Below are 27,323 nucleotides of genomic sequence, written 5' to 3' on the forward strand. Positions count from 1 at the left end.
CAGGGTCCAACAGTGCACAAGACAGGTCTGGACTAAGATCCTTCGAAGCTGGAGAAGTGGAGGGGAGGAAAGGTGCAGATGCGAAAAATGGCAGAAGGGGGAAAGGGTGAATGGGAGGGAAGCCATTCACAATTTAGAGCCTCGGCTTTTTGAATGAAGTAGGAGAGTAGTTATTTTTCATGAAAGCAAGTAAGGGTGCTTACTTTGAGTTTAACTCAAAATATTTATGTGTCTGGTGAGTTTTGAGGGAAATTGAGACCACCTAAGGGAACAAGAGATTCACATTGCCCAGAACGTACTCATTCCAGGACAATACACCCACTGTGTGACATGCTAGGGGCAACCTCCTGTGCTAATTATTGTTCTTTTATTTCCCCTTGAAATCGACTGCTGAACTCAACTAAGTGAAATATGTCCATAACACAATGCTGCCAGAAGGTCTTTGATACCAGCAACCAGGGCTTGCTCGGCTTTCCTGCCCAAATCCCTTCTCAGAGCATTTTTATCGCTCATATGTTATTCTCTTTTCTTCTGTCTGAGGAGAGAAAGATTCTTCTACACTCTTTTAAGGCTGTCTCTTCTCTATGTTTATGTCTCTATTATTACATTATAGGCTTATTCTAGGGAATAAATATCTTATTCCTGCCTTGCAAAGAATAAGCACATGATATTTATACACATCTCTGTGTCAGGTGCAGTGGCTCATGTCTATAATCCCAGCACTTTGGGAGGCCAAGGCAGGAGGATCACTTGAGGCCAGGAGTTTGAGACCAACCTGGGAAACATAGTGAGACCCTGTTTCTACAAAAAAAAATTTTTTTTTAAGTAAATCAGGTGTGGTGGCACATGCCTGTTGTCCCAGCTACTCAAGAGGCTGAGGTGGCAGGATCACTTGAGTCTGTGAGTTTCAGGCTGTAGTAAACTACAATTGTGCCACCACACTCCAACCTAGGTGACAAAGCAAGACCCTGTCTCAAAAACAAAACAAAGCCAAAAACCTTAGGGAACTGTATCTGTTACTCTTTTATTACCAATAATATCTTCAGGCAAAATCTGCTGACAAACATTTATAAATTAAATGTAAAAATAAAATCTTAAATCAGCTTTAAAATAAGTCAGTACATGATATGTAACAACTCTAAATCAGCTTTAACAGTTTGTAATATGTAACAACTTAAAATCTAGACACCTACAGACTATCAGATAATGTCTAGGAAATCACCTCAATTACGTACTTTCTCTAAGTTTTCTATATATCACACAATTAAATTACAATAAATTTCAGAAAACAATGAATCCACTCAATACAGGAAACCACAATAAGCAAAAGTGCAGGACACAGGGAAACCAATAACTGCAACATGTATGTGCTTAATGGAAAAAGATCCATTCAGGCATATATTTAGATGCCAAACAGCTTCTCCTAGCACTTTCCTCACACTAATTCTACTTTATTGCTTTGAATCCTTTTGGTAAACAACACCCACCATGCATGAGGCACACACATACAATCAAATAACAACTAAGGACAATCATTTACTCCTGTTTTTTTCACAAATGATATCTTATTGGATGCCCTTTAAACCAATATGTTTCAAATGTTTTTACCAAACCAACACTAAGAAAAACATTTCATGTTGCAACCAAGTTCAAACATATTGTATTAGTCCTCTTTCATGCTGCTGATAAAGACATATCATAACTATGATAGATAAGACTGGGAAGAAAGAGAGGTTTAATGGACTTACAGTTCCACATTGCTGGAGAGGCCTCACAATCATGGTAGAAAACGAGGAGGAGCAAGTCATGTCTTACATGAATGGTGGCAGGCAAGAGAGAGCTTGTGCAGGGGAACTCTCATTTTTAAAACCATCAGATCTCATGAGACTCATTCACTATCATGAGAATAGTGCAGGAAAGACCCTCCCCCATAATTTAATCACCTCCCACTGGGTTACTCCCACGACATGTGGGAATTGTGGGAGTTACAATTCAAGATGAAATTTGGGTGGGGACACAGCCAAACCATATCACATATATTCATGAATTACAGTTTAATCTAACAATATTTACCTTACCACTCATGATGCACTGTGAGATTTATTTTTATTTTTACTGGTTTCATTTTACCAAATTAAAACTTAAGAGTTTGAAAAATACTGCTCCAATTACTTTACTCAGATACTATTTTTAATGACATGATCCTAGGTTGCTATTCAGAAAAATAAATATTTGTCCTAAGATCAGAAAAGAAGGTAAGTGATCCTGACAGATAGTATATATGTCCTTCATTCAATATGGCAAGGAAAAGAGCACATGGCAAGGAAAAGACTACCACCAAAGAAGGAGCAATCAGTCAATCAATCAATCAATCAATCAACCAAGGCAGATAGAACATTTTTGCTGATATTCAATAAGGGTCCTTTAGAATTATGTGAGGCAGTGTGATACAAAGAATAGAGCACTGAATTTAAAATGTGGATACTTAGTTCAAGCCCCAGTTCTACCACTTTGGGCAAGACATTTTGTAGAGATCTAATTTTTCTCATCCATAATGAACATGGGGCAGGGACTCTATCTCCTGTCTAGCACTCTACTCCCAGAGCCTAAACAGTGCTTGACATCTAATAGATGTTGTTAAACAAATGAATGGATGAATATATATCTTGTTCATATGGTTGCAAACAGGATGTCAAACAAATGCTTGATTTTTAAAAATTCAGTCTGAAATAATTGGGGACTCAATATGCTGGCAGCTTCACACTATGCTGATTAAGCACTTTTCTCTTTCCACAACTACTAAACCAAAAAAAGAAAAAAAAATGTGGGGGAGGGGGTTGTGGAGGGACTGATTTTCTGTATTTTTCCTTTTCCAACAACTAGTTCTTATGAAAAGAAATTCTATCAACAATGTGTTTAAATTCTCCACATCCAGGATATATGCAACATTGGTGCCCTCTTAGAACAAAAATGTAAAAAATTGAACTACTCCTTGTTTCAACATTTAAGCCATTTAATTCTTTCTTGGTATCATGAACTGAGAAGACTGAAGGGGGTCACAGAAAAAAATTATACTCACAATACTATATTTTTTCAGGTTAGCACCAATACTTGTAAATGCTTTGATAAACAAGGATGAAATTATTTATTTTAACTGATGCTCAACCATATTGGGTCATCCTTATCAGCTACAACCACACATTGCCAAAATCAATCAATCAATCATTTTTTTTGAAATGGTCTCACTCTGTCGCCCAGGCTGGAGTGCAGTGGCGCAATTTTGGCTTACTGCAACCTCTGCCTCCCGGGTTCAAGCAATTCTCCTGCCTCAGTCTCCTGAGTACCTGGGATTACAGGCATGCACCATCATGCCGAGCTAATTTTTGTATTTTTAGTGGAGACAGGGTTTCACCATGTTAGCCAGGCTGGTCTGAAACTCCTGACCTCAGGTGATCAGCCACGATGGCCTCCCAAATTGCTGGTGTTACAGGCGTGAGCCACCACACCCGGCCTAATTAGTCATTAATTCTTGAGTAGTTCATTCAAGTATAACATCTTGCTACCACCTATGAGGGATACAAAAGGTCCCAGTGCTTGCCATCTTAACATGATTTATCATGAAACTATTCAATAACTGTGCAAAATACTATTTGATTAAATATGATGGACAGTACAGACAATAAGTCCCTACAGGACTTATTTGGATAAAAAGGAAAATACTACCTTCATAAAGAAACTTACCACCTAAAAGTTTAGGCTTCGGGGATGGCAAATACATGGAAAATGATCAGCTGTCTTCCTCATCCTCTAGTAACTATGTCAGGCCAGTTACTGATCACGGTATTCTTGCCCAGTGAACATAGTTATAACCTCGAGATCCTTATCAGCACATCCTTCTAGGCAGCTACAATAAAATATGATGAAACTTATTTGTCATCTCTGGGCTCAGCCTCTTTAAGAAGCTGCAGGAAAGTCTTTGATTATATTAATTATCACATGAATCCTGTCAAAGTACATACCAAGAAGAACACCATCAACTTCAAAATCCATCAGGAAAGGGATATTCATTTCTCTATATGGTCTAACAAATGATACTATTTAACTCTAGGTCTTAACTTACTTATGTCAAATGACAATTGTACCTATAAATCCAATAAAGTGCTTTATAATTATAAAGTCTCATTCTATAACATACCACATGCATGAAATTATAAAATATATGCTCACTTAACAAACAATACAAAAGTATATAAAGTAAAAACTGAAAGTTTACCAGCCCCTACAACAGTCCATTCTTCAGAGTTAGCCAAGATTAAGTTTAGTATACATCTTTCCAAACTTACTTTTTACTTATGCAAGAAAAACAATGTGTGTGTCGTATGTTTATTGCAGCACAATTTACAATAGCAAAGACATAGAACCAACCCAAATGACCATTAATGATGGACTGGATAAAGAAAATGTGGTACATATATACCATAGAATACTATGCAGCCATAAAAAGGAATGATATCATGTCCCTTGCAGGGGCATGGATGAAGCTGGAAGCCATTATCCTCAGCAAACTAACACAGGAGCAGAAAACCAAAAACTGCACGTTCTCACTTGTAAGTGGGAGCTGAACAATAAGAACACATGGACAGAGAGAGGGCAACAACACACACTGTGGCCTGTCAGGGGTCGGAGGCGAGGGGAGGGAGAGCATTAAGACAAATACCTAATGCATGCAGGGCTTAAAACCTAGATGACGGGTTGATAGTGCAGCAAACCATGGCACACATATACCTATGTAACAAACCTGCACGTTGTACCCATGTATCCCGGAGCATAAAAGAAAAAGAAAAACTAAAAAAGAGTGTGTGTGTGTGTGTGTGTGTGTGTGTGTGTGTGTGTGTGTGTGTTCATGTGTAAGGTGTACTAGAGCTATTTTCCTTACAAAAGTATTTCTAGCAAAATTATTTCTTTCCTAAACTTTAAATTTGTAAAGGAAATGCAACATATAAATAATAGAAATTTAATGCCATTTTATTCTGTACTTAACACAGGTCAGTGTTTGGACATGTACAAATTAAAACACGAGGAAAATGCATTAACCCAGCACCTTTTCAACATGAATTGTCATAATAAAGGATTCCATCCAAGTGTTATTGAAGCTCAAAAAAATAGAACTTTCTATTGAAAAACACCCTTTACATATAGTAGTGCCATATATTTTGAAAAAGAAATGTCTAATGAGCACGGAGAGGCATATCCACAGATATTCATATCCACAGATATTCATGAAAACACACTTACCCAGAAACACAGTGTGTTCGACAGAGAAGAAAGCTTACCGAGTGCTTAGTTCAACACTTTCATTTTACATATAAGGAAGCAGACTCAAAGGTCACAAAGCCAAGAACAGAAGCAGCACCAGAACCACAACCCACCATGACTTGCTGTGCTTGTTATACAAAACCACACTGGCATTCTTTAACATGATGAATTTTATTATACAGATGAGGCTTATGGTTTAAATGGAGGTTCTTATCTGTGTTAAATTGCTTTTGTCCCCAAATCTAGCTTCTTGTTGCCCTGGGTGCCTCTATCGTAGGACCCCCAACTACCCTCAAGCCTGTGATTCTTTCTCCTCCCTCCAGTCTCATCTCAACAGTCTCTTCCATTGATGGCCCTTGTGCTGGTCCATCTCTGCTCTGCCCCAACCCTGACCTTCACTTTCATCCTTAGCAAAGTTTTGGGTCTTAGTGAAGGGAAACATGTATGTGCTCATCTCCAGATCTGGAGCCACAGTTGTCAGAGATATAAATCATAACTACAGGTGCCTTTAGGAAAGTGAAAGCTACATTTACATTATTAACGATAACAAGTCCTGGAAGAAAGAACCTCATCCCCATGAACGATACACAGCCACTGTCTTTCTTTGGGTACTACATTCACACACACAGAGAGATTCATGTTCCACCTACATGACAGCCCTGTGATTTGGGCTAAAATTTAACCTTCAAAAGCTCATAAAATAGTAGTGCTCTTACTTTTGAAAGCAGATCCACCCTTTTCATAATGATATATCAGAAGTTCAACATATAAGACAGAAGTACCACAGAGAAGTTCAACATGGTAAAAGATGACTCACTTTTCTTTCCCCTCATCCCTTTCTCCATCCCACCCCCACCTCTGAAGAAATCTAGACCTCCAAGGGATCAGTTTGAGAACCGCTGCTTTATATCTTTTAACACATTCGCTTTTTTAAAAAAGCCTATTTTTCAAAGCTGTTTTATGTTCACAGCAAAATTGAGGAGGAAAGAGACATCTTACATGTCCCATCCCCCACACACGCACAGCCTCCCCTATTACCGGCATCCCCACCAGGATGGCGCATTTGTTCCAACTGTTCAATCCACACTGACACACCATTATCACCCAGCGTCCATGGTTCACATTCGGGCTCACCTTGACGTTATACATTCTATGTGTTTGGACAAATTTATAACAGCATATATCTACTAATATAGTGCCATACAGAGTAGTGTCACTGCTCTAAACAAAACTCCTCTGTGCTCCGTCTATTTAACCCTCTTTCACCCCTAGCCCTTGACAGCCACTGATCTTTTTATTGCCTCCATAGTTCTGCCTTCTCTAGAATGTCATACAGTAGGTAGCCCTTTCAGGTTGGCTTCTTTCACTTAGTAATATGCATTTAAGATTCCTCCATGTCCTTTCATGGCTTGATAGCTCTTTGTTTTTGTTTTTGTTTTTTTAAATTTAGACAGGTTATCGCTGCTGCCCAGGCCAGAGTGCAGTGGCACAATCACTACTCACTGTAGCCATGACCTCTTGGGCTCAAGTAATCCTCCCACATTAGCCTCTCAGGTAGGTGGGATTACAGGTGTGTGCCACCATGCTAAGCTAATTTTTTTTAATTTTATTTATGCTGCCCAGGTGTTGCCCAGGCTGCTCTCAAACTCCCAGGCTCAAGCAATCCTCCTGCCTCAGCCTCCCAAAGTGCTGAGCCACTATGCCTGACTCTCATTTCTTTTTAGTGCTAAATAATGTCCCATTGGCTGGATGAACCACAGTTTGTTAATCCATTCACCTACTGAAGGATATATTGGTTGCTTTCAAGTTTTGGAAATTATGAATAAAGCTGCTGTTAACATCCTCATACTGGTCTTGGTGTAGACTTCAGTTTTCAACTCCTTTGGGTAAATACCAAGTAGTGCAATCACTGGATTATATGGTTAAGAGTATGTATAGTTTTATAAAAAACTGCCAAAGTTCCTTGCAAAGACACATTCACTTTTACTAAAGAGAAGACCTATATAAAGACAAGGCACATGGTACTTTGCACATTGCAAATCGTTAATAACCAGCAGTATTCTATTTATCCTTGCTTGATAGAAATGTAATGCTTTTACTTCTCCTAAACAAGTTGTTTATAAATATGTTGCTCTGTATTGAATAATATATTAAAAATCACCTTTCTTCTCACCAGAGGCACCCTACATGTATACCTGGCCAAGGGCTGGCCCATCAGTGGCAGGAGGAAGCATGTGCCAGCACCCGTGCCACTGTGGCATGCTGCATACTGCATACAGTGCTCCAGAGAATCGTACCCTTCCCTGCACTGGTGCCATTTCCCAATGTACTCGAAAGATTCCAAACCCACAAGCTGATAAAAGATGCTACATTCCCTTCAATCTTTCTCTGAAAATGCCACACCCATTAGCTTCATCAGCTCATGTCTCTAGCTCCTCTCCCTAAAAGCCCAGTCTAAGTAGCTGTGCCCGAAGAGAAAAGGTTGTTGGAGAAAGTGGCAAATGCCATCCCATGCCTTCCACACCACCACGCCTCACCATTTTTTTTTTTTTTTTTTTTACCTCTACATGCTTCCTCTCTTCTTTCAGCCCAAAGCCCTCAGGTTCATGGACTCATGCAAATTAATGTCTGAAGGAACTTATTATTACTATTGCAGTTTTAACTTTAGCCAGATCTCAAACCAAGATTAGGCTGAGCCAATGAATACTTGACCATCTCTAATAAGATTGACTCCAAATTTATACACCTATACTAAAGCTAAAATTGGTGTCATTTCCAAAATATCATTTGTGCTAGGCCATCTTTGCATCACTATACAGGAATAACTGAGACTGGTTAATTTACAAAGAAAAGAGGTTTAATTGGCTTATGTTTCTGTAGGCTGTACAAGAAGCATGGTGCTGACATATGCTCAGCTTCTGGTGAGGGCTCAAGGAGCTCTTACTCATGGCAGAAGGTGACAGGGACCCAGCATGTCACATGATGAGAGTAAGAGCAAGGTGAGGGAGTTGCCACAGCATCACACACTTTTTAAACAACCAGATCTTGGGTGAGCTCACTCATCACCAGGAAGATGGCACTAAGCATTCCTGAGGGATCCGTCCCCATGATCCAATCATCTCTCACCAGGCCCCACATCCAACACTGAGGATTACATTTCAACATGAGATTTGGAGGGACGAATTTTCAAACCACATCATTCTGCCCCAGCCCCCCAAATCTCATGTCCTTCTCACATTACAAAGTGCAATCATCCCTTCTCAACAGTCCATTAAATTCCTAACTCATTCCAACATCAAGTCCAAAGCCCTAAGTCTCATCTGAGACTCATGACCTTCCATTTTTGGGCCTATAAAAGCAAAACAAATTATTTACTTCCAAAATACAATGGTGGTACAGACACTGGGTAAACATTCCCATTTCTAAAGGGATATATTGGCCAAAAGAAAGGGGTAATTTTCATGCAAGTCTGAAACCCAGCAGGGCAGTTATTAAATCTTAAAGCTCGGAAATTATCTTTTTTGACTCCATGTCCTGCATCCAGGACACATGGGTACAAGGAGTAGACCCCCAAGACCTTAGGAAGCTCTGCCCCTGTAGCTTTGCATGGTACAGCCCCTGCAGCTGCTCTCACAGGCTGGAGTTGAGTGTCTGCATCTTTTCTAGGCAAGAGTGCAAGCTGCTGGTGGATCTACCATTCTGGGGTCTGGAGGGTGGTGGCCCCCTTCCCACAACTCCACTAGGTAGTGCCCTGGGGGTACTCTGTGTGGTGGCTCCAGCCCCACATTTTCCCTCTACATTGCCCTACTAGAGTTTCTCTTCAGGGTCTCCACCCCTACAGCAGGCTTCTGCCTGTACACTCAGGCTTTCTGATATGTCATTGGAAATATAGGTGGAAGCTGCCAAGCCTCCTTCATTCCTGCATTCCATGCACCCACAGGAAGCTGCTAAGGCTTATGGCACCTTGCACTCCCCAAAGCCACAGCCGGAGCTCTACCTGGGGCCCTTTGAACCAAGACTGGAACTGGAGCAGTGGAATGTGAGGAGCAGCTTCCCAGGGTGGTGCAGGGCATCAGGGCCCCAGGCCTGGCCCTTTAAGCCATTCTTTCCTCCTAGGCCTCTGGGCCTACAATGTGACTCAGACCTACAGGTCTTGCTAAGGTTCCTCCACCAACTGGGCAGGATTCAGGGGCCTTTGTGTCTGTTAACAAAGCATCAAAGTCCTCTCCAGATACCTCCTCTCAATTCCCTTTCCTGGGGACCCTGTGACCTCCTGCTCTGTAACCTCCCTTCTCAATAATAGGGAAGAATCACATATATTTTGATAAATACTACTCACAGCCCTAACTCTAATTGTAACTTTCCCAGATATTTTTAATATATTTAGGAAATGTATTCAGCAAAACTATTCAGCAAATAGCTACCACCCATCATAGCCACTCACTAAATCTATCACCTATTGTGAATTTAAGGGAGTCTTGTCACTGGCTGCATTAAGCTTTGTCTTGCCATTAATAATATTTTCCATCCCTGAGGCTGCCCTGCAAGTAAACCTGCTTTAGTCTTTTGGGGTACCTAGGGCCTTTTTGAGAGATCAGCCTTGAGGTCCATTTTGGGAGATAACCTCAAGGTTATTAGTACCTTTACTGTTTATTTCTCTGTCCCTAATGCCACTTCACTGTCCCCAGGTGGCCAAGGGTCTGAAAGGTCATTTCCCCCCATCTAGCAAGAGCAAGTCCTCCTTACTCCTCCACGAAGCTTTCTCAAATTTTATGAGAACCCTCTGATCCCTTCCTTTCAGGAAGTTGTGCCACACCATTTTTTTTTTTAAATAGGGTCTTACTCTGTTGCCCAGGCTGAAGTGCAGTGGTGTGATCACAGCTCACTGCAGCCTCGACCTCCCAGACTCAAGCAATACTCCCACCTCAGCCTCTCAAGTAGCTGGGACTACAGGCGTAGTCCACCATGCCCAGCTAAGTTTTGTATTTTTTAATAGAGGTGGGGTTTCACCATGTTGCCAAGGCTGGTCTCAAACTCTTGGGCTCAAGCAATCTATCCACCTTGGCCTCCCAAAGTGCTGGGATTACAGGCATGAGCCACTGGGCCAGCCTGTGTCACAGCATTTAGCATTTATATTTATTTCACCTAGTTGGTTTCCTCATTGCTCCCCAGGTTAAATGTTGACTTTCCACCTTCATGTATTACATATAGCACCCAATATTATCCTAGACACAGGGCTGGTATGTTATACATTTTTTGATTACTTGATTGAGAAGGTTAAAAATGCTGAATTGGAAGACATGAAAGTAGGGGCCACGTGCATCTAAAACTAGAAAGGTGGTGATCTATGGAGATTAAATCTGCCTCTTCCCAAGAAAAAAATGAACCAACACTGGGAAGTATTCTCCAAAGCATTCTTTACACTTTCCTGTGTCCTTATTTTTCAACGAAGAGATTCTTATTCACACTTTTCCATTCCAAATTACCCATTACCATTCTAATTAAAATTTGACCCACATCCCTCATCTCCATATAGATCCATGGTCCCCTCCCCGACCTCTTCAGAGATCAGACCTATGTGAAAGGATATGCAAGAAAATATTATTTCTGACACCAGAACTACCAGCTGCAGAAAAAAAGCAGTTGAGTTGCTAAACAATAAAGCTGACTATTTCTCTAGTAATATTTCAGTATGTTATTGGAAGTTAGAGGGGTTCCCCCTTCTAAAGCTCTCCCATATATGACTTCCTTATAGCTTTTCCACCATTTCTCTCCCCTGCCCCCAAAAGGAGACCTCCACTTATAAGCCTCAGAAAGAAAAATGTAATTTTCAAAGAAATTTACAATTGGAAGTGGAAAGGTACTGGGTGACAGTGTGAGTAGAAGAGTTGTAACAGACATGCATGATTACAGCCTTTGTTCCTTTTCACTCCAGGGAGAGTCACAACAGCCAGAAGAGAGCCAACCATAGCATGGAGCAGAAGAAACACGCAGGACTAAATTCCAAAAGGGAGCCTCTCATTTCACTTCAGTTACCCATCAGCCATATGACGTTAGCAAGTCAGTCTCTTCCAATTCCAATTTCTTTCTACAACTGGAACAGGACAGTCTATCTGTGCAACCTACCAAGTTCCACCAGGATCAAACAAAGTGAGGTAAGAACAAGAGAGCAGCCACTCCTGAATGTGGCCTTTTCACAGCCAGGTGCCTCTGAAACATCGTAGCTGTTAATCCTCATAAGTCTCCTGTAGATCATATTATTATATCCCCATTGTACAATGAGCAGACACAGCTAATTGAGGACCTTGTTCAAGGTCACCAGCCAGTAAGTTATTCAAACTTGTTTAGCCCATGTTTAACTTCCACATTATACTGCCTCCCTCTATATTTTGAAATAACTTTAAAACTACAAATCTATACAGTTTTATTAAAATGTATATGAAAAAATAAGTCCCTGAGGAAGAAGTTGGCAGCCAGATTTGATTCACTTATTCCTTTTCTACTCCCCACCTCCCACCATCAATTTTATCAAGTTCCTTCCTCCTCCCAATCTCCCTCTTCTAGTTATTCCTTTTTTTAATTCCTCTTACGATTTTCCTTTTGTGCACTTCTCCTCTGTTGTCATTCCAACCTTCTGTAATTAACATGAGAACAAACCCCTACAACTTGAAAGTGCATGCAATTAAAACAATGTATCAATTATATTTACTATGAATGTAGGACCCATTTTGAGCTTTTTCTTTTTTGTTTGTTTTGTTTTTTAACCACCCCTTTATTAGGTTAACTTTAGACATAGCTGAGACTTTTATGAAGATGAAATGACAGAATGCTTAGCAAACTTAAAAAACAGACATCATGGGCCGGGCACGGTGGCTCATGCCTATAATCCCAGAACTATGGGAGATGAAGGCGGGCAGATCACGAGGTCATGAGATGGAGACCATCCTGGCTAACACGGTGAAACCCTGTCTCTACTAAAAATACAAAAACTTAGCCAGGTGAGGAGGCACGCGCCTGTAGTCCCAGCTACTTGGGAGGCTGAGGCAGGAGAATCACTTGAACCCAGGAGGCAGAGGTTGCAGTGAACCAAGATCACGCCACCGCACTCCAGCCTGGGTGACAGAGTGAGACTCCGTCTCAAACAAAAAAAAAAAAAGAGAGAGACATCATGAAACAAAGTCATTTCCATTTTTAGATTATCAGCACATAATTACACTAGAATGTTATCAGACCAAAAAAAAAAAAAAAAAAAAAAAAACACAGATTTGACTATACAGTGAATCCTCAATTATATGTGTGGCTAGTACAGAAGGGCACTGTTTACCCGTCCCTGTTTTTGCCTCCCTTGGATGCTTTTCCCCCCAAACCTAGGGAGCTGCCCCTCTCTCTGGGCCACGCAGCACTTTGTTCATTTTCTACCTTAGTTATCATCGTAGCCGGGTTATATTGCAGCCTGTTTTCACATTAGTCTCCCCAACTTAACAGAGAGGGCTAGGGCAAAAAAACAGCATTTATTCATCTTTATATTCCAAGAATGCCCGGTACATGAAGATCCCCAACACATGTCTGTTGAATGATGGAACAGAAATTCACATTTAGCAGAAAAACATGCAGCCTTCAGACAGACCGGGGTTACCATAGGGCAGGACACATTGGCGATTACTGGCTCTTAATTTGCTTGCAGGAAAATAATCTAAAGCCTTTGGTTCTTGAGAAGAGGAAGCAGAAATGGTGCCTTTTTCAAACCATCCTCCACCGGCTGGAGCTGGCTCACTTTTCATCCTGCTGACAATTTTCTGAGTTACAGTTTACACCAACGTTGTCACAGAGTTGATCACCTGAAAACCAGCCCTCCTTTCCTTCCCGTGGCAAGGGTATCCTGCCACACTCCTCTCACTCAGCCCAAAGATCACTTGCAGAACCAAAGAATGAATTTATTTGTTGCAACCTGCACCGGAACTTTGTAGTATTCCAATTTCTCCCCTTTCCACACACTTCCATACACCCTATTTCACCTCTATTACAAGTTCTCTGGGGCCACTTTACAGATGATAAAACTGGGCTGAAAATGTGTTTAAGGTCACATGAGTGGAACCCAGTTCTTCTCCTTCCTGATGCCTAACTAGGCGTCCCCAGCCATATCCCCGGGGCAGCTTTTACAAAAAGTCTCACGCCAGGGCTTTATCCCCTCACGTGATTCAGGACATCTGGGGTGGGCCCAATAGGTGTGTTCTGAAAAGCTCTCCTGGTGCTTCTGGGAGGCGCCTCGGGTTAGGCAGCGACGCACAAAACATAAACCCTGTCATATCATTATTTATTCCGTGAATACATCGGAGTTCTGTTCTTTCGGTGGCCACACAGATGCTCAATGCCACGACCCTTGAATAACTGCCATAGTTGTCACTTCACTTGGCTTTTTCAATAAAATGAACAGGTCCCGCGCTCCTAGACCCATGAACACTCGGGAAGCCCCAGGGGTATCTCTGTCCTCGACACAGCAGGGGCCCTACAAACCCAACACGGCTGTGCACCCGCCAAAGTGCCCACGCCCACCGTGGCGGGGCGTGTCCTGCCCGCCCCCATCAGGGGAGTCCTGCTCTCGAAATTATCCCGCGCGCCGCCGGTAATCCGGGGTGACGCCACGGCCCAGGTCTCTTTTCTCCCGGAGTCTGCGGGGACCTCCCCGCCGCAACTCGGTCACTTTGTTCCCATTAACTCAGTCTCTGGGAGACGGGCTAAGCTGGCACTTGAGATTCTCCCGTTGGGGTGGTTCAGCAATGATCACCCCGCCGTCTGCGCAGACAGCCCCGCCCCCAGCCTCGGAGAGCACAGGACCCGGGAGGCGGCGACCTGCCTCCGCGCGGGGACAGTGGCCGGCGGGGCGGGCGCTAGGTGGCGGCTGTTCAGCTCCCACGTCACCCGGCCCGCCCTCCGCCCAGCGCAGAAGCGAAGAGCTGCAGACGACGGAGAAAAGGGAAGCGCGCCCCAAGCCGCACAAAGGTGGCCGCCGGTGTCCCAAGCACCGACCGCCATCCCCGGCAGGACGCAGGCAGGAGCCTCGGCCAGGCTACCTCGCCTGGCCCGCGGACTCCGCGCGGCACGTGGGCACCTGCGGCACGGGTTGGAGCCCCCGCCCCACGCGCCCACCTTAACGCCGCGCCCCCGGCTCCCCGCCCCGCTGCCAGCCAGTTCTCTCGCTCGCCCCTGCCTCACCTGCCTTTCCTACCTACCCGCCGCCAAGTTTCCCCCGCTTGGAAAGTTCTGGAGTCCGGAGCCCGTGGCCCACTGGGTCAGCTCCGGCCGGCGGGTCCGGGCGGCCGCTGGGCGTGCGGCGCAGCTCCGACTCGGCGGCGCGGAAAAGGGGAAGGGGAGGAAGGGGCGGGAGCCTCGGCGGGGCGATCCCCCTCCGACCCCAGCCGGCCCGCGGTAGCCGCCTTGGGAACTTCTGCGCTATGATTATCCGCCCCCGCGTTGGGGACTTTGCCTCTCTTCCGCGAGACTCTTGTCATCGCCGCCCGCGGTTAAGAGTTGGGGCTCCGGGTCGGGCTGCCTCAGTTCAGATCTTGCTCCTCCACTTAGGAGTGTGTGATCTGAGGTAACCTACTCTACCCCTCTGCAAAAGGAGGGAAATTAATAATAATAATAACAATAATTCCTATCCAGGGGCGAATCCACGTGTTGTGGGGCTTGAAACTGAAACAACTGTGAGTAGAGGTGGCGAATCTTCAAGGGAAGTATAAAATGAGATTCTGGGATTAGCAAGCATCTGTGCGCGTGAGGGGGCCCGAAGCTTAAGCTTCATTAGCTTCACGTCTCAAACTGCCTCTGCAATGTTCTTCATGAGATTAATTAAGTGCGAGAATTAAATGAGGTGAGCCGCGAACGGGGCCTAGCATAGTGCGGGGCGCACTCAGCAGGTGTTGTTTATAGGGATCATTTCCCTGTAACTGGCCAGGTGGACTTGGGAGAGGAGGAAATAATGCTGATTGTCAGTTATGTGCCAGGTGTTAGAATACGTGTTAAACTCAATTCATATGCCAACGCGTGCGTAAGCAATATGCCAGTTTTATAGCTCAGAACACCGAGGCTCAGGGAGTCACGTAACTTGTTCATGGTTTCACCGAAAACCCAATTCTGCCACGTTGCAAAGACCCGCTTTTTCCACAGTTCCATCTCACAAATATGAATATGTAACTATGTTACCATAACTTGTTGTTTGGGCAAGAGAAGAAATTCCCCCATGAGTGAATTGTTAATGAATTTTCAGTGCAAAATTTCCCCAGCTCATGCAACAGCAAAGAAGACTTGCCCTGCATATGAAATACCTGGAAAATCAACAAATTTACTGAAATGTGTTCAGGTTACACATTTGCTTGCTCTGTTAGGACTATGTGTTTAGTTTTTATATTGGTTATTAATACTACTGCACTTCAGATGAATGAGTTTATAATCTATCCCCAAAGGGCGTATAAACGAAGACAACAACATAAGGAAAGGAACTTTCCTGTTCAAGGCACTTCATTCTTTTTCTCATTGAATTTCAAAATCTCTATGCTGTAGTTGTAATACCCTCAATTAACTAATGAAAACTCAAAAGTAGATTAAGTTGTCTAAGTTCACACAGATAGTCAGGATTTGAACCCACCTGATTTGCCTGGATTCTAAATCTTAGCTCTTTTTTCTGCACTTTGGGGGAGAAGAGAAGAAACTATTTTAAATGCATGAAGTCAGGCTGGGCGCGGTAGCTCACGCCTGTAATCCCAGTACTTTGGGAGGCTGAGGCTGGCAAGTTTGAGACCAGCCTGGCCAATATGGTGAAACCCCTTCTCTACTAAAAATACAAAAAAATGAGCTGGGCATGCTGGTGGGCACCTGTAATTCCAGCTACTCGGGAGGCTGACGCAGGAGAATTGCTTGAACCTGGGAGGCAGAGGTTGCAATGAGCCGAGATAGGGCCATTGCACTCCAGCCTGGGCAACAAGAGTGAGACTCCATCTCACAAAAAATAAATAAAATAAAATAAAATAAAATAAAATACATGAAGTCATTTATGTTTTGCAAAGTGGAAGAAAAGAGTATATCAAAAGTAAGTCGTTATTTTAAGTTTCTATTGCAGGAGAACTAAACAGAAAGCTTAGATCCACAACTTAGTTATTTAGGGTGAGGAAGGGAGAGTGCCTGCTACAGTGCCAGGCACATAATAGGACATTCGTTGCATGAATGAATGAATTCATAAAAGAATTAGTGAAATTCTTTTGGGTCGTTGGTAGTGCCTCTTAAGTCACAGCCTTTCAATATGTAGTTCTTATAAAATGCCAGTATCGTGAAGAGATTTTCCCCCCTCTACTTTTGTTCTCCCTCTTGGGTAATAAAAGGGACAAATCAAATTTTTAGGGGGAGCAAAAGGAGAGTGGAAGCAGGAAAGGACAGAGAAGAATAAAAGGATCATAGGAATAAGGAGAAGGAGAATGAGACACATCCTTTCCGTTGCCTCTTCAGAGAGAAAGATTTTATATCTGTCAGAAACATGAATAAAACTACAAAAGTGCATTAAATTTTCTAACTAAATTGTGAAATAGTTTGTTATTGTATTACTGTAAAAGCAACAATATTTTGTTAAGACAGAAAATAAACCTTGCACCCATGCACACTCCCACCCCACAACATGTGAGTCCAGCTGTGGCTCGGATGGGGTAGGCAGATGGGAGATTGCACATTTAGATAAAGAAGGCAAGTTCACTACTTCTCCTTCAGGCAGGTAGTGAACTTTCATGCAGGAATTGAACTTTCAAAGACTTTCAAAAACAAATTCAATAAAGGAAGTGAGAGAGGGAGGATACATACAACTTTCAAGGAATAGATGGTTTTTCCAAAGTTTAGAGGAGGGAAGGAAATCGCTCTAATGAAAGGAATAACAGCTACCATTCTAGTGCTTATTCAGGCAAGCTGACACCAGAGCCCATGTTCTTTTGCCCATGCTATTGGGCACTTCACAGCAGAACAGGTTTAGACCAACTGATCTAGAAATGGCAGGCTGGAGAACAGAAAGTGAGAGCGAGGAGGGAGGAGGGACTCACATTACTTTTTTTCTTCTTCTTTTTCTTTTTTTGAGTAAGAGTTTCACTCTTGTTACCCAGGCTGGAGTGCGATGGCGCCATCTCGACTCACTGCAACCTCCACCTCCCAGGTTCAAGTGATTCTCCTGCCTCAGCCTCCTGAGTAGCTGGGATTACAGGCACCTGACACCACACCCAACAATTTTTTTTTTTTTTTTTTTTGTGAGACGGAGTCTTGCTCCATCACTCAGGCTGGAGTTTGGTGGCGCAATCTCAGCTCACTGCAACCTCTGTCTCTCGGGTTCAAGCGATTCTCCTGCCTCAGCCTCCTGAGTAGCTGGGATTACAGGCACATGCCACCATGCCCAGCTAATTTTTGTATTTTTAGTAGAGACGGGGTTTCACCATGTTGGCCAGGCTGGTCTTGAACACCTAACCTCAGGTGATCTGCCCACCTCGGCCACCTAAAGTGCTTGGATTACAGTCATGAGCCACCACGTTTGGTCTGTGGGTGCTTTCTTAAAAGACCTACAGAAGATGTGAGGCCCTTGAGCTTGAAGATTAAAGCAGTCATTCCCCAATCCCAGACTGAGAGTACAGCCTTCCTTAGTTGTATACCTAGTCACAACATCCCTCATTTGCAGATGTCACTAGCGCATCCAGCAGTCCTTAACTTTCAAGTACAAGATCTTTGGTTATATACCATCAGTACAGCTGTGCACTGTTTATTAATACACACCGCACCCCCTGCCCCATAACCTGCAACTACCTTTCATACACCAAATTCCATTTTGGGTCATGATCTAAGAGATGACACCAACCATTGAGTGATGGGTGTTGCTGTTAGCCACTCATCAAAAGAAGCACAGACGCCGGGGGCTTGTGGTCCCAGCGCCCACCACCCCATGCCAAAGAACCATGTTCTTGGACCTCTGCCTCCACACAGACGGCACTCATGAAGGAGGCTCAGGGGTCATGTCCCAGTGCCTAGAACCTGCTCTCCTGGGTTGGGGAATGGGGTTAGTTCCAGCAGACACAGCCTCAATTCTTTGGTGAAATAATACAATCAAATCCTCTGTAGGTACAGAAGATGAAGATCCTCACCCCCTACCCTGTTCCAACTAAACAACGGCATGATGTTGGTAGTTGGGTTTAATCGACCCAGGTGCCTGGGACATGGGTGGCCTGACCCCAGCAGCCATCTCCCTGCCTTGGGTTCCAGAGTGAGGGCTGACAGGCTAGAACTCTCACTGGCAGCCCTGGCCGCTCAAGCCTGAGGGAGCCAGGACCTACAGAGACCATCATGAGAAATTTTCTAATCAAAATTTTTTTCTAGTAATGAGAAATATTTCTAACATCTACAGGTTTTGTTGTTTTTTTCTTTTTCTATTTTTTTTTTTGTTTTGTTTTTTGCCTTTAAACACATTTCCAGGAACTCATTAGTTACCAATGTAAGGGACCACCTTAATGAATAAATTACTCCAAGGATATAGAATTCCCTTTTGTTGCCACAGCCTCTTATTCTGCCCACCTTGTCTTGCTTCCTATTTTAAAAAATGTCTTTGTGACCTTTAATCCCTAGAACCTCTTCCTACTTTCTTAGTTCATTACCTCCATTCTGACTTCCCTTACCTCTCCACTCACTATAGGTCAGTTTTTGTTGCTGTGGTTTTGTGTGTACGTGTGTGCACTTATTTCCTTACCGCCATAAGCATGACTCTTCATTTCCTTGACTTCTCTCCATTTCCAGTCAGAAATCTCCCCTCATTCACTTGTTTTGTTACTTTCTCAAATTGTTACGTGCTACTGGGACATCAAAAGAGTATGTTGATTGGATCTACTCTGAATATAATTTCAGAAGAGCACATACAGCTTTTTAGCATCTTTTTCATCATCTCTTGTGTTAGTCCATTTTCATACTGCTATGAAGAAATACCCAAGACTGGGTAATTTCTAAAGAAAAAGAGGTTTAGGCCAGGTGCGGTGGCTCAAGCCTGTAATCCCAGCACTTTGCGAGGCCAAGGCCGTCAGATCACCTGAGGCCAGGGGTTCAAGACCAGCCTGGCCAACATGGTGAAACCCCGTCTCTACTAAAAGTACAAAAATTAATTGGGTGTGGTGGCAGGTGCCTGTAATCCCAGCCACTCGGGAGGCTGAGGTAGGAGAATTGCTTGAACTCAGGAGATGGAGGTTGCAGTGAGCCAAGATTGTGCCATTGCACTCCAGCCTGGGCGACTGAGCGAGACTCTGTCTCAAAAAAAAAACAAAGAAAGAAAAAGAAGTTTAATGGACTCACAGCTCCACGTGGCTGGAAAGGCCTCACAATCATGGTGGGAGGCAAAGGAGGAGAAAAGTCATGTCTTACATGGTGGCAGACAAGAGAAAGTGTGCAGGGAAACTGCCCTTTATAAAGCCATCTGATCTTGTGAGACTTATTCACTATCATGAGAACAGCTGGGAAAAACCTGCCCCTATGATTCAATTACCTCCCACTGGGTCCCTCCCATGACACATGGGGAGTATGGGAGCTACAATTCAAGATGAAATTTGGGTGGGATACAGCAAACCATATCATCTCTTTATTACATTTTCTACCTCTGCAATTCTAAACCTTTTGCATCCAAGATCTCAACTTTTCCTCCTCCTCATTCTCAACAGAGTGAATTGCCTTCTTCTTCAAGTAGAAATACTTCCCACTGGAGCTTTCACAAATATTTTTGCATCTTTCCATTATTTATTTTTCTTCTTTCTTCTCTGAGAAAATGGTTCTCCTTGCAAAAGCTAATCCCTGTGACTTCAGCTCAAAACCCCAAACTTCTCCAGGATTAGACTATTGGTTGTCACATTTTACTTGCATTTTCAGAGTCCTCCACTTTATTGACTCTTGGGCCTCTGCTTTCAAGCTTATGTCTTCATTATTCTTTAAATAATAATCATTAATATTAATATAAAATTTTCCAGCAGCGTTGCCACTTCCTGAAACTATTGACTTGTAGTTCAGTGCTCCCTTACTACCTCTGAAGTTTAATATTGAGTGTCAACTTGATTGGATTGAAGGATGCAAAGTATCATTTCTGGATGTATCTGTGAGGGCATTGCCAAAGGAGGTTAACATTTTATTCCGTGGACTGGGAGAGGCAGACCCACCCTCAATCTGGGTGGGCACCATCTAATCAGCTGCCAGTGCCGCCAGAATAAAAGCAGGCAGAAGAACGTGGAAAGACTAGACTGGTTTAATCTTCTGGCCTACATCTTTCTCCTGTGCTGGATGCTTCCTGCACTTGAATATTAGACTCCAAGTTCTTTAGCTTTGGGGCTCAGACTGGCTTCCTTGCTCCTCAGCTTGCCAACAGCCTGTTGTGGGATCTCACCTTGTGATTGTGAGAGTCAACACTCCTTAATAAATTCCTCTTTATATATACATCTATCCTATTAGTTCTGTCACTCTAGAGAACCCTGACTAATACACCACTGAACTTTGTCAATGCATGTCTCTGCCCATTACCATTGGTTCTTGTCCCTACTCACTGTGGAACCCCTTAGTATCCACACCTTGCAATCTGGCTTCCTCACCACTCTGCTTTACCCGTTCTTTGCAATCAACAGTGACGTCTTCTAACTGCCAAGCCACTGGGCTCAGTCTTTAGCATCTTAACTTTTCCAAATGATTTACCATAAAAATGGTTCTGAACCATTTACCAGGTTGATCTGTGCCTCTCCCTTCACATTCTCTTCCCAAAGGCTCTTTTTTAAAAAAGGAAACAGGGGATTTTAAAATTAGCTTCGTGATTTAAATTACTGTTATTACTCCTATTTAGTGGTCTTAGTTTCTTTGACGGTCTACCAGTTTGAACACTTCAAAACAAGCCGGACACCTGAGCATCTCATGTCATACATCAATAATCCAAAATTAGGTAGAATCGTTGCAGGCTGAATGTTTGCATCCCCCAAAAATGTATATGTTGAATCTTAATCCCCAAAGTGATGGTATTAGGAAGTGGGGGCCTTTGGGAGGTAATTAGATCATGAGGATGCCACCTTCATGAATGGGCTTAGTGCCCTTCTAGAAGCGACTTCAGAGATCTCTCTTGCTCTCTTTCCTCCATGTGAGGATACAATGAGAATCCTGCAGTCTGGGACCTGGAAGAGGGCCCTCACCAGAACCCACTCATGCTGGCACCCTGGTTTTGGAATTCCAGCCTCCAAAACTATGGTAAATAAATTTCCGTTGTCTATAAGCTACGCCATCTATGGCATTTTTGTTACAGCAGCCTGAACTGAGTAAGACACATTTTATATATTCTCTCAATCTTTTCTGTCTATGCATTTGCTTGGGGAAGGAGGACAGGGTTCTAAGTAGCCCCAAGGAAATAGCTAATAACCCTAAGCAGAGGCAAAGCAATTATCAAGAAATTAAAGGAAATCCTACATGAAATTATCTGTCCATTCAAAGCTGTTATCTCTGCATTGAGGAAATAATGCCAGCCCTAGCAGAAAGTAATTCCTCCGTTTGCTTCAGTGATTCTGTATCTCCTGGCTCTCCTAACACTCAAAATATTTCTTTATCGTCATTCTTTCCTCTTTTCTTTTCTTAAATGTGGGGGTCTTCCAATATTTTAGCTTGAAACATTTCCCTTTATCTTCGCTCATTCTCCTTTCCACTTATGTTCTTGGGAAGCACATAATAAATCACTTCTAGGCATACAGATTCCAAATCGCTAGCCCTGAAAGATCCCCAGTCACAAGATACCTGTTTTTTGTTTTTTTTTTTTTTTTTTTACTGCCTGCTGAACATCTTGCCCTGCAGTGCGCACCAGACTTTCTCACTCAACATTCCAAACTGAACTCAGCATCTTATCACTATAACTAGTTTCTTATTTCAATTTTCATAATTCTAGCAGCACTGCCATTCTCCCAGATGCCTACATTTGAAAACTAACTTTGTGCCTCTGTTTCTTCTCTGTCCTTCCCTCCCCGTATTGTATGTCCCAAATCTATCAAAAGTGCACTTAGAGTAAGCTTGGCATGTGTATTCTTATGATACCTATCTTATTCTCTTGGGAATTACACAGATGTGACCGTTTTAAGGAAAATCCATAAAAAGAAATGAAATTTAAATAGTAGTATTTAGATACTTAAGTTAGTATCAATGATATTATTCATTCTACAAAAAAGTACTTTTGTATAACCTCTTGACAAGTACGAGATGTAAAATTCAACTTCTACCTCTAATAATTTAATTTTTACAGGCTAAAATTACATGCAGTTATCTTTTTGCCTACTAGAAGAAAATAGTAACATTTTTAAACTATATATCTGTCATTTGTCCAAGTAATTTTATTTTCATGTGAAAAGTTTAAGCATACAAAGAAGAGAAAGTAGTAAAATGAACTCTCATATGACCATTGCTCAATTCAATAAATACCAATATTTTGCCATGTGTGCCTAATATATTTTTTCTTTTCTTTTGTTAAAGTATTTAAAGCAAAACCCAGACATCAGCTTATTTCATTCCTGTTTACTTTCTTATGCTATTATAATAGTGGTATATAATAGAAGCATATAAGCATATCCATACTAGCACATAAAGCATATAATAGTGTTATAATGTGATCATAACACTAGCAAAATTGATGGTCATAGCTTGGTGTTGTATAAAACCCATACTGTATTCAAATTTTCTCTATTGTCTCAAAAATGTGTTCTTACAACTGTTTTTTTTGGGGAGGGAGGGGTATTGTTTTGTTTTATTTTAATCAGGGACCACACAAGTTCTACCCAATGCATTTTGTTGTTATTGCTCATAACTCCTTTTTAGTCTTTTTATTTTCCATGCCATTAACTTGTGGAAGAAACCAGATCCATAATATTCAAACATCCCACATTCTGCATTTGTCTGTTTACTTCCTTGTGGTACAGTTTAACAACTTGTTCCTCTATTCTCATCGTTTCTGTAAACCGATGCCACTGTTTTGTTTTTTGCATTTTGTATATTTTTCCCACTGCGTGTGAGTCACTCAAAAAAATACATCTTTCAGTGATGCCTTTTTTCCTGGATTCATCTCAGTTGGGTTTTAATCTTTCAATAGATACCAATTATGATGAATTAGTCATATTCTAATGATTTCCCTAAGAATAGATTGATGCATTAATAAGGGATCTGACAACACATAAACATGGGTTGAATAAAAGAAAATTATTTTAGAAAAATTCAGGAAATGATTATAATTGTTTTATATAGCTAAGTTCTTTGATTCAGTATGCGGTACTGTAAGAACATTCTCTGCGGTATTATGAGATATATATAAATATATATATTGGTTTTTGTCCACTGTTCCTGGTTCATACCTCCCATAAGCCCTTGCTACAGTCTTTGTTCTAATGTTGGGTGTATTTGGCCTCAGGGATAGGCCTCTGCCTTTCTCCTGCCTTCCTTTCACTCTCCTGTTTCCCCGCCTGTCTGATAGTGGGTGGGTCTTAAAACCCTCCCAGGAGAGGGTCTCACTCTACACCCTGGGGTAAGGAAAGCTGATGTTTTGAAGCTTTCATAAAAAACCCAAGAGGACGGGTTCAGAGAGCTTCCAGGTAGCTGAACACACTGAGGTGCCTGCAGGTTGGCCTCCAGGGAGGGCATGGACGCTCCACGTCCCTTCCCCATACGTCACCCTACATGCCTCTTCATCTATATTCTTTGCAGTATCCTTTATAATAAACTGGTAAGTGTAAATAAGTGTTTTCCTGAGTTCTGTGAGTGGCTCCAGCAAATTAATTGAACCCAAAGAAAGGGTCATGGAACTTGCGACTGATGTGTGTGTAAGGGGAGGCAATCTTGGGACTCAGCCCTCAGCCTGTGGGATCTGACACTGTCTTAGGGTAAATGGTGTCAGAACTGGATTGGAGGACACCCAGGTTGTGTCTATTACTTGGTGTGTGGGAAAAAAAAAAAAAAAAACCCACACATTTGATCACAGAGTCTTCTGTGTTGACTGTTGTGTAAGAGTAGAGGAAAAATGTGGTTAGAGAGAGTTTTCTCTACTACATTCTCTTTTTCAAAATTTACTCATTTAAAATAAATAAAATACCTTCACATATCAATTATCATTTTTGATCATGAGAGCTGGGTTTTGAAGTTTATAGAAGTAAAGAAGCACTAGGCCGGGCACAGTGGCTCATGCCTGTAATCCCAGCACTTTGAAAGGCTGAGGCGGGTGGATCACCTAAGGTCATGAGTTCGAGACCAGCCTGGGCAACATGGTGAAACCCCTGTCCCTACTAAAAATACAAACATTAGCTGGGCGTGGTAGCGGGCACCTATAATCCCAGCTACTCAGGAGGCTGAGGCAAGAGAATCACTTGTACCTGGGAGGTGGAGGTTGCAGTGAGCCAAGATCATGCCACTGCACTCCAGCCTGGGCGACAGACCAAGCTCTGTCTCAAAAAAAAAAAAAAAAAAGGTAAAGAAGCACTTATTTTTGAGTGACTGGAGGGCTTTAACTTATGTCTGTGCAGACGTGTTATACTTAATAGTGTATGTGGGCAATCTTGTGTTTTAAACTGAAGCTCAATAAGGTGATTTATTTCCCAAGTATATATAGATATTATAGTCATATTTTTATCATAAATATATATAACTTTTTTATACAGATACAGTTTCTAAATATTTTCTCTACACTCAATAATATGAAAATTTCATAAAGGATATTATAATTACATTTATTGAGTACCTACAATATGCCATTTATATGTTTACACTCTTTATATGTAATAAGCCTTTTAGACTTTACAAAAATCCTATGAAATAGGCTTTAGAATTATTCTCGTTTAATAAGGAAGCAGAGGCAAAAATCAGTTAGGTCCCTTTTCCAAGGGCTTTCAGGTCCAGGATTTGAATCTAGGTAGCTTAGCCCTCTTGGTCTTTGCCCTTAATTTCCATGCTGTGCAAAGTTTGCATTAAAGTAGGCTAAGTGGGGAGGTGGGCGGAAGCAACTCATCAGGTCTCAGCCTGTGTAGGCCAGTGCCCACTTCCAGAGTGACCCCAGGAAACTTCTCCAGTTACAGAGGGGCTTTAGGGAATCCCCGTCCAAATAGGGCAGTGTGGGATAGACCCGAGAAAGCTGTTGAAGAACAGTGGAAATCCCCTGCCATCAAGAGATTTGAAAGAGTCTAGCATTTTCCTCTTTTGTCTCTTCAGATGGAACTAGTCCATTAGTTTATAGCAACTGCAGCAGGTCACAAAATAATGGGTATAAGTGCCCTTGGAGGAATCTAGACCAGCTCTGTGTAAGCTTAGCCACATTATCTTGGTCCACCATGCCTTTCAAAAACACTAAAGAGAGTGGAGTTTGCATTTTGAAGATCAGCTTAGAGTGAAATGACTTAGGTGAAAAGTTGCTTGTTACACTTGGCCTTTTTGTCCTTCATGCTGAATATTTCATTTTAGATCTTCAAAGACTTCTGTAAAGAAAGCTCTTCTAGATTAAGAAGACATTGTATTAAAGTTGCAATTGGATTGGTTGGGTTTTGTTTTGTTGCAAAAACACCTCTCTGTATCTGAAACCTCTCGACACCACCCGGAAAACTGTTGCTGAGATTATTTGTATTAGTTTGCTAGGGCTGCTGGAACAGAGTCCTGGTGGCTTACATTAACCAACACTTATTGTCTCACAGCTCTGGAGGCTAGAAGCCTGAGATCAAGCTGTTGCCAGGGTTGGTTCTGTCTGAGGCCTGGGAGGAAGAATCTGTTCCACAGCTGCCTGTTAGCTTCTGATAGTTTGCTGGCAATCTTTGGTGTCCCTTGGCTGGTAGATGCATCACCTAATCTCTATCTTCATGCTCACATTGTGTTCTTCCTATGTGCACATCTGTTTATGTGGCCAAATATTTCCTCTTTATAAAGGCACCAGTCATATTGTATTAAGATTCATCTTAATGACCTCAGTTTTAACTTTATTGCTTCTTAAAGACTATTACGTTTAGAGTATTTGTCCCCTCCAAAACTCATGTTGAAACTTAATCCCCAATGTGACTGTATTGAGAAGTGGGGCCTATAAGAGGTGATTGGGTCATAAGGGCCATGCTCTCATGAATGGATTAATCAATTCATAGGTTAGCGGATTAATCCACTCATAGATTAATGGATTAACGGGTTATCATGAGAGTAGAACTGATGGCTTTATAAGAAGAGGAAGAGAGACCTGAGGTAGCACAGTCAGCCCCCTCATCATGTGATGCCCTGTACCACCTCAGGACTCTGCAGAGAGTCCCCACAAGCAAGAAGGTTCTTACCAAATGCAGCCCCTTGGCTTTGAACTTCTCAGCCTCCATAACTATAAGAAATATTTCTTTCTTTGTAAGTTACCCAGTTTGAGGTATTCTCTTATTAGCAACAGAAAATGGATTAATGCAAAGACCCTATTTCCAAATAGGGTCACATTCCAAGTGAGGTACTCTGGGTTAGGACTTCACACTATTTTTAGGGGGGGGCACAATTCAACCCATAACACTATTTTTTGTTGTTGAAATTAATGTTTTGTTCTTCTATTTCCTTCTATTATTTTTATTTCTATTTATTTCTTAGATTATTGGCTGTGTTTTTATTTTTCAATGACAGAATTTTCTCCTCCATTCTGTCCCCTGTCCCCTCCACCGCCCTTGCCCTTTCCTGTCTGTCCAATTCTTTCTGCACATTGATTCTGGGTTAAACTTGTAGCGGCACAACGTTGAACAAGTAAATCTCTGCACAAAAATTCCCATTGCCCCCAGAATTGAGTCTCGGCTTCTTGGGTTGGCATTTTGGGCTCTTTTACAATCTGGCCTCCAACAGAGCTTCCCTTAAGAATGCTCTGCTCTTGACTGGCTTTCTTCTAAGATACATATTTATACTTCCACTTTTTCTTACCTTCTATTCTCTTTTTTCTAGAATACCCTCTCTCATTTATCTTTGTTGACCTG

At 42.2% G+C, this 27,323-nt stretch overlaps 1 protein-coding gene across 10 annotated transcripts in view, besides 5 other annotated features; it reads right to left on the reverse strand.

Annotated features, from left to right (window-relative positions):
- The window catches only part of PLAGL1 (PLAG1 like zinc finger 1), a 124,300-nt gene extending 109,622 nt beyond the window's left edge, over positions 1–14,678 (reverse strand). For 7 of the 10 annotated variants that reach the window (NM_001289038.2, NM_001289042.2, NM_001289044.2 and 4 more), the window contains exon 1: positions 14,547–14,678. The gene's annotated coding sequence lies outside the window, so the exon portion shown is untranslated. Of the gene's footprint in view, positions 1–3,741; positions 3,905–5,295; positions 5,342–14,529 lie in introns of those variants that run through there. The other 3 variants (NM_001289039.2, NM_001080951.3, NM_001317159.2) reach the window with 2 other exon arrangements.
- Positions 5,239–5,348: an enhancer, noted in NCBI's record as "active region_25209". NCBI's record gives its function as "activates an Ori minimal core promoter by ATAC-STARR-seq in GM12878 lymphoblastoid cells {active_cell/tissue: GM12878}" and the evidence as "EXISTENCE:reporter gene assay evidence [ECO:0000049][PMID:35858748]".
- Positions 13,488–13,537: a silencer, noted in NCBI's record as "silent region_17634". NCBI's record gives its function as "represses an Ori minimal core promoter by ATAC-STARR-seq in GM12878 lymphoblastoid cells {active_cell/tissue: GM12878}" and the evidence as "EXISTENCE:reporter gene assay evidence [ECO:0000049][PMID:35858748]".
- Positions 14,078–14,357: a silencer, noted in NCBI's record as "silent region_17635". NCBI's record gives its function as "represses an Ori minimal core promoter by ATAC-STARR-seq in GM12878 lymphoblastoid cells {active_cell/tissue: GM12878}" and the evidence as "EXISTENCE:reporter gene assay evidence [ECO:0000049][PMID:35858748]".
- Positions 14,408–14,797: a silencer, noted in NCBI's record as "silent region_17636". NCBI's record gives its function as "represses an Ori minimal core promoter by ATAC-STARR-seq in GM12878 lymphoblastoid cells {active_cell/tissue: GM12878}" and the evidence as "EXISTENCE:reporter gene assay evidence [ECO:0000049][PMID:35858748]".
- Positions 17,030–17,329: an enhancer, noted in NCBI's record as "active region_25210". NCBI's record gives its function as "activates an Ori minimal core promoter by ATAC-STARR-seq in GM12878 lymphoblastoid cells {active_cell/tissue: GM12878}" and the evidence as "EXISTENCE:reporter gene assay evidence [ECO:0000049][PMID:35858748]".

Source organism: Homo sapiens, chromosome 6, assembly GCF_000001405.40.
Source record: "Homo sapiens chromosome 6, GRCh38.p14 Primary Assembly".
NCBI classification, from domain to species: Eukaryota; Metazoa; Chordata; class Mammalia; order Primates; family Hominidae; genus Homo; species Homo sapiens.